The sequence below is a fragment of the Homo sapiens genome, chromosome 5, assembly GCF_000001405.40.
Source record: "Homo sapiens chromosome 5, GRCh38.p14 Primary Assembly".
NCBI lineage: Eukaryota > Metazoa > Chordata > Mammalia > Primates > Hominidae > Homo > Homo sapiens.
In genome coordinates, this window is record NC_000005.10 from 108919114 (window position 1) to 108931300 (window position 12187).

The 12187-nt window shown below is 34.6% G+C and overlaps 1 protein-coding gene across 22 annotated transcripts in view; it reads left to right on the top strand.

The window, feature by feature from the left end:
* The window catches only part of FER (FER tyrosine kinase), a 448945-nt gene that overhangs the window by 171217 nt on the left and 265541 nt on the right, over positions 1-12187 (top strand). For 2 of the 22 annotated variants that reach the window (XM_011543276.3, NM_001308031.2), the window contains exon 1: positions 5478-5676. The exons of the other annotated variants lie outside the window; for them this stretch is intronic. In XM_011543276.3, coding sequence (XP_011541578.1) covers positions 5548-5676 — 129 coding nt within the window. In that variant the 5' untranslated portion in view covers positions 5478-5547. Of the gene's footprint in view, positions 1-5477; positions 5677-12187 lie in introns of those variants that run through there. 22 annotated transcript variants of the gene reach the window in all.

A 12187-nucleotide genomic window follows, 5' to 3' on the forward strand; every position in this document is an offset into this window, starting at 1 on the left:
ATTACTGATGATTGAAGGGTAATTTTCAATGTTAAACTTCAACTTTTGCTTATAATTTTCATGTTACATTTTACTCATTGATATCTTACTATTTCTGCTTGTTTTTTTTTTTTAAATCAGAGTTGGATCTTGTAATTCTAGTTGGTTATTCTTGATTTCACTTTGTAGATTTTTTTTTATGGCTTTATAGATGATCAGTATTTCTATAGGTTTTAGAGATGAGTAAAGAGTACAGAAAATTTAGCTATTGTATGAAACATGTCCTATTTTGGAGGGAGGGTTTTTCTAAACAAGTTTATTTAGTAGCTATTAAAATGGAAAATTTTAAATTTTCCAAAAGATTCTTTGAGAGATACTTAATTTGATTCATTGACATTTGTCAATAAGGCCTCATATCTTAAGTCATTTTAATGTGTCATTTAACAAAACTTACTAAAAGAACTAATCCTTAATTACTCTTTACTGTGTGCTAAACAGTATGCTAGATATATAACATACTTTATTTACTACTGGCAAACAGTCCTGCAAGGGAGTTATTCCAGCCTTTCAGACAAGAACATTGAAGCTTGAAGAGATTAAGGAACTTTATCAGAATCGGTGTGGCAGATTCAAACTCAAATAGAAACTTCTTGACAATGAAGTTTCTATTTTATACAATCAGTGTTGCATGATTACTAAGCCAACAGATGTGTAATCAGAGGGACTTTAGTTCAAATCCTCTGTGCTATTAATGTATCACCATAGGCAAAATCACATAACCTCTCTGAGATAAGATTCCTTACTGGTTAAAAGTGGCAAGTCATAGAAACCTCATAGAATTGTCTTAAAAGTTACGTGAAATAATGCTTGCAAAAATGTTTAGTACAGTGCCTGGTATATAGCTAAGTTCAATAAATGGTAGCTATAAAGAAGTAGAGTTTTTAGTATTTTCATTTCAGAGACTACAGTCCCCTTATTATAGATATTTTAGTTCTTTTTAGTTATGTAATACCTGAAGGTAAGAAATTACCAGCAGGTGGAGCTCAGTATCAGAAAAAACAAATTTCTGAAATTGAGGTATTTTATCACCTTATGTTTTAAAAATAAAATTAAATGCATATAGTTTTAAAATTTACATGTGAAGGCCTTCTTTTTTAATCCTACCTACCAAAAGTTATCACCCTGCAACTTGGTTTTTGAATATGTAGAAGGAATGCTTTTGTTATAATTATTTTAAATTGTTTGCTATATCTGGTGTCATACATAAGGTATGACAGTTCATTTGCATGAATAAGACATTTTTAATGTGAACTTAATTTATAAAGATTGTCTTCAAATTTGGTCACTTCATACAATAAAGTAATTACACTGATAATCTTAAATTTAACTTGTCAAAACCCTCAAATCTGCCATTCCCACAGTCTTCTTAGGGTATTTTCAGTCAATTGCTTAAGTCCAAATCTTGGGAATCACCCTTGTGTTCACTTTCTTCCAAATCCTGTTAGCAAGTTGTCTTGATATTACCTCCAAAATATATTCCAAATCTGACCTCTTGATAACATTTCCATTGTGATCATCCTGGTAAATTCACCATAAATTAAGGTCTGAACTACTTCAGCCAGTTTACCTGTTTGTTCCCTTGCCCTTTGTAAATTTTATTTTCTGTATAATAACTTGAGTTATCGTAATGTATAAATGAGATTTTATATTTCTCCTGCTTATGACCCTCCATTGGTATTCCTATATAACCAGAATGAAATTCTAATCCTCACCATGAACTCAATTACATAATCTCATCCCTGCCTACTTCCCCTCATTATTTCCTACCAGTCCTCATCCATCACACTCCAGCCATTGAGGTCTTACTGTCCTTTGGGTACACTAAGTGTCTTCTTATCTCTGGGACTTTATGTTTCATCTCTTTTTAATACTTATTCCCCAGATCTTCGTATGACCAACTGCCTTCTTTTGATAATTTCAGGTCAAATGATACTTCTTTGAGAGATCTCTGACTACTTCAGCTGTAATAGGCCCTATCAGACCCCTGTCATCATTATTTATCCTATTGCCTTTTTCCTTTTCTTGCAAAGCACTTACTTTAGTATCTTTACTATTTCTACTATTACTACAATTATTACTATTTTGTTGGTTAGAATTTACTCTGTGGTAGGTTAGTTCTAAATATTTCCATGCATTAAATACTAATATATGTACTTTGGTATGTATGAACTCATTTGATTATGGTATGTATGTATGTATGTGTGTATGTTTTTATTATCTGTCTTCTATAATCCCTGCTTGTTCCTTAAACTGTAGCTCTCAGAAGGTAGGCACTTTCATTATGTTTACTACTATTTCCTCTGCCTTGTACAGTGCTTGCTATGTAGGGGAGGCTAAGTAAATATTTTTTGAATATTGAACAAGCTCTTAGAACTCGTATCAACAAGTAGAGTTATCAAATATTTATGTAAAATAATCTCCTAGGGGATAGGGAACATATCAGTGGAAGAAATCATACCTGACCGATTATTCTTAGAGTCTTTTTTTATGAAGGTAATAGGGTATATAAAATAAGCTACTTCGATTTTAGAAAAGACGTTGACAATGTTTTTTACCAAAGGTTACTAAATGTTAAGTCACTGCTGAAATGGGAAATAGGCTTTTAGAATGGCCCAACAACAGGTTTAAAATCAGAAATCAAACAGTAGGAATAGATGTTTATTTGACTAGAAAAGTATAAAGAGAGTGCCCCAGCAATTGATGATCACATCTGTTATGGTTTGAATTATGTGCCCCCAAAAGATATCTTTAAGTTGTAATACTAAATACCTGTGTATGTGACCTACTTTGGAAATAGGGTCTGTAGTTGTAAACTAGTTAATATGAAGTTGTTAGGGTGAGCTCTAATCCAGTGTGACTGGTGCCCTTATAAGAAGAGAAGAGAGGCTGACATACAGGGAAGACAGCCATGAGAAGACAGAGGCAGATATTGGAATTATGCTATCACAAGCAAAGGAATGCCTGGGGCTACCAGAAGCTATAGGAAGTAAGGAAGGGTTATCCCCTAGAAATTTTGGAGGGAGCATGGCCTTGGCTAACACCTTGATTTCAGACTTCTGGCCTCCAGAACTGTAGGAGAGTAAGTTTCTGTTGTTAGAAGTCACCCGATTTCTGGTACTGTGTTACAGCAGCCCTAGGGAATTAGTACAACATCTGTTGTGATTATTGTCTTTATAAATGATCTGAAAGAGGAGGGTCTTCCTAGTGAGGTATCTAGATGACATTAAAGTCTTCTAGTTGTGAAGAGCAAAACCAGTGAGTACAGATGATGAACAAAGAAACACCAAAATTAGCTTCTCTCTGTGCTAGAACAAGTAACAAATCCAGCATCTTAAGATTTTATATTCTTTGACTGTAAGCACTGATTTCAACACATTTAATGTTGAAAATTGCTTCCAGATTTAATGTTTTATGATTTTATGAGCCTGGGTAAGTGCCTGGCACCTAATTAATGCTTAATGAATATTTAAAAAATAAATAAGTGAAACCAATCAGGGAATAAAATATAGGAAAATATAATTTTATTTTAATGAAAATATAAACTTATTCTGGTATAAAATTCAAATTATGGTTACAGTTAGGGAAAAATGAGTGCAGGGAGTGAATACTGGGAAACTATACGCATTGTTTACTGAATATATCAACACTTAAGTAGAAAAACAAAATTAATAAATTGTTAATGTATCTTTGGAGACTCTTTTTTGGCAAAAGAATACCTTTGGTGAAATAGAGCAGTGACTTAATCTAAGAAACAGTATAGTAGTTAATTGCATAGTTTCTGGAACAAAGTTGCATAGTTTCTGGATCCACAGTCCTTGGATTTGAATATGTGGCATCAGCTATTTTTTGGCTATATAACTTTGGGCAAGTTAAACTTTCTGTACCTCAGTTTTCTCATCTGTAAACTAGGGTTTGTAACAGAAACTATTTCATAGGGTTAATGTGGGGAGTTAAATGAGATAATCCATCTAAAATGCCGAGAAAATGCTTTCTCCTAAGAAATTCTTTACCCTATATTGTCTTTTATTGTTTATTAAATATAAAATTTTATAAAATTATTCTCAGTGTACAAAATGAGATTTATTTTGATGGACGTGATATAAAGAATGGTTGTTGCGGACAATAAAATTTAAAAAGTGAGTATCCAAAAAAGAAAACTAGAGGAAATTATGCAAAAAGGCAAGAAAATTAAAAAATTTTTTTTTGATTGCATCTAATTATAAAGGGAGCCAAAGACTTTAAAGAAGGAGATGTTTATGTCAGAATTGTGACCCAGGGAAGTTTTACGGAGTAAGACTTTTGACTCTCTTGCTCTTTTCTATTTTTCTTATTTGGTTTCATAAAGTTTCTTGAACTTTGGTCCCTTAGAAAGAATGTTCTGTACAATGCCTGAATATGATACCTGGCATCTAGTAGTTGTATCTTTGTTTAAAAAAATGAATGAATAAAGCAGGGATTTATAAAGCAATTAACAAATCATTATAGAATAGGTTATCAAAAGTGGAGCCTTACTTTCCGATTAAACATTTATGGTTTTGAGTATCCCACTCTACTTCCTCTCTAGCCCTGACACTTCATTTTGTGTTAAGTGTAGTAGGTTTTTGTGGCAAGGAAATTTAAAATTTTTATTTCTGTTGAGACCTTAGAGATCATTTACACATAATTTATATTCTTTTCCTTTGAATGAAGAATTATAAAGTATTGGAGAGTTATACCTCAATAAAAAATAAAAAAAATTAAAACACATTGGATTAAGAAAAGCTTTGTAGCACAGCTATCTGCAAGGTTTTGTTTCAAGAAGTGCTTGAAAGTGAGGTATATTCTCAGAGACCTTGAGATCCAAAACCTAAAATAAGAAGACTTCTATATGTTTCTTAGGAATAAAATCAGGTATTTTATTTATCTAATTTAAAAAATCAAAGGCCAGGTGCAGTAAGCTCACACCTGTAATCCCAGCACTTTGGGAGGCCGAGGCGGGCGGATCACCTGAGGTCAGGAGTTCGAGACTAGCCTGGCCAACATGGTAAAACCCCGTCTCTACTAAAAATACAAAAAAATTTAGCCAGGCACGGTGGTGGGCACCTGTAATCCCAGCTACTCAGGAGACTCAGGCAGGATAATCACTTGAACCCGGGAAGCAGAGGTTGCAGAGAGTCAAGAGCATGCCATTGCACTCCAGCCTGGGCGACAAGAGCGAAACTCTGTCTCAAAAAAAAAAAAAAAAAAAAAATCAAGTAGAACAGAGATTTATTTCTTAGATAGTGTTTCTTTACTTAATGTACAAGGATTTTCCGTTTGTTGCTCGAAAACGCAACATTTGTTGGCTGTATCTGTTCCTTTAATCCAGAACTGACTAGTATACTTCCATGCCAACAGGGGGAGATAGTATGAAATAGGAGATCCAGATTTGCACCTCTCTTCTATCTTGCTTTTGCCTCACACAGGAAGGTTTGTTGGTAAATTGACTTCCTTGGGCCCACTGTCACTATCTCTTAGCTAAATTTTGAGATGGAGCAGAAAATGAAATGTCCTCATTGTAAGGATCAGCTGGAGTCTGGTTTCGGCTCCCAATCCTGTAAAACATGTGCTTTAATGTTCAGCTCTGAGCCTTCCACATCAGAAGTCCACAGAGATCAGGTAAGGAGAAGTTCTGCCACAGGCCTACTTTACCCAGGGCCCCAGACATTATCTAAGAGTCCAGCAGGTCATCTATTTTATGCGGCTGCTTCAAATGGGAAGGATAATTTCTCTTGACTTCTGAATCTGGTGGTAAACAAAATTCTTTTGAACAATGCTATCACTTAGATGCTAAACCAAAGCCACTGAAAAAAATGAAAGTGGCTTCTTTTCACATTTGTATTTTATTTCATTTGTTTCCTTAATTCACCTCTCAGTTTTGAGAAAAATATGTCCTTTCCAGTATTTCAATACATGGAAGGTAAAAGAGAGTGCAGTTTTATTGAATATTTGAGGAGAAACATGGCTCAGATTTTAAACTGAGCCATGTTTCTCCTCAAATATTCAACAAAGATGATATTAAGATTTCTATTTTTCAAATTTCAGTTTCTATTCTGGCTGGTGAGCTCAATTTAGCCTTGTTATTTTCAATGTCTGTCACCAAAGGAAACTAATAATGTTTTTCTTGAACATAGGTATTTAATAGTTGGTGACCATAACTGGTAAAGCTTTTCATTATGATATGTAGCTATATAGTTCAATGCTAATTTTGTAATCAATGTTTATGGTTTAATTTAGGAACTTGGAATACACTAATTCCTTACTCTTTTAATGTATAAAATATAATTTCTGTTACTAATAGGAATATAGCCCTATTTTAAATCTGTTGTGTTGGTGAAGAATTATATTTATATGTCATTTTGCGACTTAATTGCCTGCATTCTCTTGAGTCCCTTATTTAATGCCTCTCTTTTTTAGGCTTTCTTTTTTCAGATTCACTATATTAGGAAAACCTAATTCTGGTCTTCAAATAAGAATTGTCAATGCCAAAAAAGTTTATGTATTTTCTTTATTTTGAAGATAGTTGAAATACATACACGATTCTTGCTTTAATATTACTACATCCAGTGTTTGGGTTATGGTGTTCCAAATATGTGTCTTATATTATTGGATAAGTACTGTTTGTAAATATAATGACCATTACTTGTGTGCATAAGTTTTGCTTATCTGGTTTATAAATTTATAAAAATATTAGAGGATATTGAATCCATTGGGATCATCTTCTCCAAATTATCATTTTATATATAATAATGTCTCTGAAGCCTGAGGTAATTAATGACTCACATAGCTAGCTAGTGACTTGCATAACTTAAATTTTTTTAACTTTAAAAAAGTCTCGCTTTCTTGTTACCCTTCAATCTCTGATATATATTCTTTTATGATCCTTCTTTAATATTTTTCTTTTTTTTTATACACAGTCATTGTCTTTTCAAAACATTTTGTGCTTTTTATTTATTTTTGAAATTGTTCTTAATTCTCTTAAATTTTATTAACTTTTTTCTTTTATATTAGAATCTTCAATCTCTGATATATATTCTTTTATTATCCTTCTTTAATATTTTTCTATGTATTTTTTTATACATACCATCGTTGTCTTTTCAAAACAATTTTGTGCTTTTTATTTGTTATTTTTGAAATAGTTCTTAATCCTCTTAAATTTTATTAACTTTTTTCTTTTATAGTAGTTCTACTACATATCTTCAAAGTAAAGTAGAAAAGATTACAGTTTTATTATTTTTCTCATTTATGTAAATTCTGTTCAGAGTAAATAGAATAAGAATTTTTGCTTTGATGGCTATCACCCACCATCCTTAGGAAGGCATTACATGTAAGGATGCACACTGACTCTTGAAATTTTAAAACAATTCAACAAGTACATACTTAATTGAACTCTCATAATTATGAACTTCTACCCATAGCCTTGATGATTTATCTTGGTTATTAACTAATACTGACCTAAGTATAATGAGACCTCTTGATAAACCTAAAAATATACTTTTAAGTACTTTTCATTGTCAGTCTGCTCAGTCAGATGTTACCACACTCACTTGGAGACATACATATTCAGTCACACATACCTGAATTGATCATAGGAAGCCTTTGTATTCTCATGGAGTCACTATTTAGCCTCTGTGTTTTATACAGATGTTCTTGACATCTTTTGTTTTTATATTCTGGTATTATTTATGATTTTTTTTTCAGTGAATTCTTACCACCATAAAGTACATACTGATTCACGAGAGTATATTTTAGGCAGAAGTTGTCCTTTTATCAGAAACTGACATTCCTCTGGAGATGAGACTAGTCTAGACATAGTTTTCTGGTAAGCCATAGCCCCTCAAGCTGCTTTTCTGGGTCATCTGTTCCCTCCAAGTAGTGTGTCATATTGATATTGTATTATGTGTGGTAGATCCATTCTTTATTGGAATTTCACTTCCCTCTCCTATTATAATACACTTTTCCATCTTGTAAGAATTTTTAAATTTGGCCTTTGAAAGCTCATTCTGGTAAGCAAACTTCCTGTTCAACAGAAGATTGCTCATTCTCCCATATCCCATGTAATTCAGCATTGAGAAGTGGCTCTTTTTTTTTTTTTTTTTTTGAGACGGAGTCTCGCTCTGTCGCCCAGGCCGGACTGCGGACTGCAGTGGCGCAATCTTGGCTCACTGCAAGCTCCGCTTCCCGGGTTCACGCCATTGTTCTGCCTCAGCCTCCCGAGTAGCTGGGACTACAGGCGCCCGCCACCGCGCCCGGCTAATTTTTTGTATTTTTAGTAGAGACGGGGTTCACCTTGTTAGCCAGGATGGTCTTGATCTCCTGACCTCATGATCCACCTGCCTCGGCCTCCCAAAGTGCTGGGATTACAGGCGTGAGCCATCGCGCCCGGCGAGAAGTGGCTCTTAATGTGGGCTTTATTATTCCTTTACCCTCATGTGAAAGTCTTTGTGTTTTCAAGGCTTGTGAAGTTTGGTTGTATTGCATTTTATCCCTGCTCATTGTCGAAATCTTTGGAACTTCTGTTCATTCCTCCTTATTCATCAATGCATGTGCTCTCTGGTTTAGTCTCTTTTTCTACTTTTGGTCATTTTGGGATGACGTTAGCAGTCACGTGGAAGACCCACCTAAAATTTAGTTTCTACATTTATTGATCTAAAAATAGTGTTGACTGAGGGATGGTAGCTGATAAGCAAATTTAAGTCAAGAGACTTTTTCTAAGAAAGACAGAAGAAGGCTCTTAGGTCTTCTTGTTTCTGTTGAGTAACTAGCACCAACTCCGGACTGCTTACTTTACTTATGAATTTCATTTCATGAGAGACATAAAACCTTATTTATCTAGGTTAATTTTAGACATATTTCTGCCACAGTAGCTGAAAGCAACCCTAACTGAAAGAGTAGGTAAAATGTTGACAAAAATAGATAATATGGCTTAGCACAGTACCGCTAGTTTGATTGCTGTAGTTTGTTCGTTCCTTTTTTAGAAGGTGCTTGCTCCCAAATGCAGGAGCTTCTTGTGGCACTAAGTTTATGAAGGTAGAAGAATTCTAGTGCATCAATTAGATGTTACGGTGGATTTTAAAATCTGGCCATCACACCTTGCTTTTGTAAATATCTATATTTTGAAGGCCTGGTACTTACCCTCCTGCCAGCTCCATACTTTCTGATGGAATTCTTAGGAAGTTTTTACTGCTGCCAATTGGCAATCATATCACAAAATATTTTAAAGCTATGTATATATTTCAGTTTTTGGTGATGTGACAATAGTATTTATGAAAATAAATTCGTGAGTTCTTGAAATGTATTATAGGGCTCAACTTTTTAATAAGAATAAAATAAATATTGTAAGGAATTGATTTTAATGGCTATTAAATATATTCAGAGAAAATAAGGTAATTGTATTTCACATTGCCCTTTCTGATTGTTTAGTTTTAGGTACTGCTTTGGATACTCAGTTTCTAATTAATTTCTAGCAAAAGGTTTATTCTAGCTATGAACGGTATAATTTTTATATAGCATCTCCCTTGAAAGCATATACATGCATATATATATGTATATAAACTGTTTAATATATGTACATATACATATATATAAAGTCTGTATACATATAAACTGTTTTTGCTCTTTTCTTAAAGAAGAGGGTGAGAGAGAATGAGGAGCAGAGCAGTAGAAAGTATGGTCAAAGTTAGAAAATAAATCAAAAGGATAATGATAGGTGAATGCTTTAATCTGTGTCTAATATTTTAGCCACATAAGCCTTGGAGTCTTTATAGTTTACTTTTTATTATATTTTTCTATGGATTTAAAAATGTTTTGTATACTTTATTTTGATGAATAAATATATCTGTAGGGATATGAGAACATTGAATATATGATAAAAATTTACCCCCAGATATAGACTGTAAATAACCCTGAGGGGACTGGGAAAGAGGAAAAGTATGAAATGGGTTTTAGCCTTTTTACTCAATCACAGCGGGTAAGATGTTTCTATATTCCTAATGTCATAAAGGTATATATCCTGCAGTAATTAGTAAAAACAGACTGTTTGTTTTGTTTGTGATAGTAAAAAAGGGTTGGCTGCCTTAAAGTCTCTCTTTGCCAATCATTTTTTTTAATTAAAGAAGCACACAAAAATAGATTCCTCTGTTCCAGAATGTGTTACTGCTAATCCATTGTAAGTGGTGCCAGAACAAAGTATAAATACTTTATTAGATGAAGCTACATCTTGTAAGTCAATTCCTATCTCACCAGATGTTGCTAGCTGGAATCTAGACATCTAAGGTACTGTTTACTAGAATCACAGAAATCCTTGGTTATATGGTTTATCTGTTGCATTATTTCACCCAAAGCAATGTTGGCTTTTCCTTTGCATTTAAGTTAACAGAAATAAGGTACATGATCCTTTTAAGGAATTGGGCTTACAAAGAAGGAGGTGATTTTTTTTTTTTAAAGGAAGTCATTAAAAATGTCTGGCTATCAAGAAATGAATAACTCTCTAGTGATAGGTTTTCTGTGAATGAAGGGAGTAGTAACAGAATAAGAGGGCCTGTTGATTAAAAAATGTTCCAGAAATATGACCTTGTCTCCAAGTTAAAAATACTTTAAAATATCAGGGGAAAAACGTACAAAATACAGATAGAAGTAATTACAAAGCAGAGTCTCGTAGCCTTGAGTCATCAAGAGAAAGTCAAACCATGTACATTTTGAACTGTTTGAAAAGACACAAATACATAATTTGGTTTTTGAAGATAATCTTTTTAAAGATATGGCTGAATGAGGCATTTCATTAGTGCCTTTTAGTTCCAAGGTAAGTTATTGTTTTAAAAATTGTGAATTTCTAAAGTTTTAAGATATCTAATAATTAGCTGTTTGTTTTTTGTACCTTTACACCCTCAAGATAATTTATGGATACTTTGTTTGAATCTATGTATGATTCTTAAGCAGTGAAGCAATTGCAGATATTAACACATTAGTACCTTTTTTGTCTTTCTTTTTTGTTTTACATTTTTTAACTTAAAAAAATGTTTTGTAGAGACACAGTCATGTTTTGTTGCCCAGGCTGGTCTCAAACTCCTGGCTTCAAGCAGTCTTCCTGACCAGGCCTCCCAAAGTAAAAGGATTACAGGCATAAGCCTCCGTGCCTGGCCCTACCCATTAATTCTTTCTTATCCCCTCCCCTCCCCGCCTCCCCTCTCCTCTCCCCTCCTTTCCCCTCCCCTCCCCTTCTCCTCCTCTCCCCTTCTTTTTTCCTCCCCTCCCCCTCCCCGTTTCCTCCCCCCTTCCCCTTTTCTTACCCTCCCCTTCTCCTCCCCTCCCTTTTCCCTCTTCTCCTCTCCCCCTCTTCTCCCCTCCCCTCCCCTCCCCTTCGTGCCCCTTCTCCTCCCCTCCCCTCCCCTTCCTGCCCCTTCTCTTCCCCTCCTCTGCCCTCCCCTCCTCCTCTCCCCTCCTTTTTTCCTTCCCTCTCCTTCCTTTTTGAGACAGGGTCTCGCTCTGTCTCCCAGGCTGGTTGTGCCATCTGGGTTCACTGCAACCTCTGTCTCCTGAGTTCAAATGATTCTCCTGCCTTAGCTTTCTGAGTAGCTGGGAGTACAGGTGAGCAACAGTACACTCTACTGATTTTTGTATTTTTAGTAGAGACAGGGTTTCACCATGTTGCCCAGACTGGGCTCGAACTCCTAACCTCAAGTGATCCATCTGCCTTGGCCTCCCAAAGTGTTGAGATCACACGCGTGAGCCAACGCCCCTGGCCCAACTCATTAGTTCTATGAATAATTTTGTTGCTCCCCTATCAGTGTAGGGAAGGAAGAAAACGATTTGACTTAAATTACATTATAGATTTGATTATAAGAATTCTTATTCTGAGTAAGAACTTTTTATTATTATCTTTGGAAAAGTTATTTAACCACTCTAGGCTTTGGCTTTCTAATCTATAAAATGAGGATAATAACAGGACCTGCTATATAGTGTTCATAGAAGATTAAAATGGGCGATGGTGCTTGGCTTATAGTTAGTGCTGCTGTCAGTGTTTGAGACCTTTTCTAAGCAGGTTAGTATTCTCTTTTCAACAGAGACTTCAAATGGTATATTGTGACTATTATCTTTTATGTAGCCCTTAAAACTTCAGCAATAGTGATTG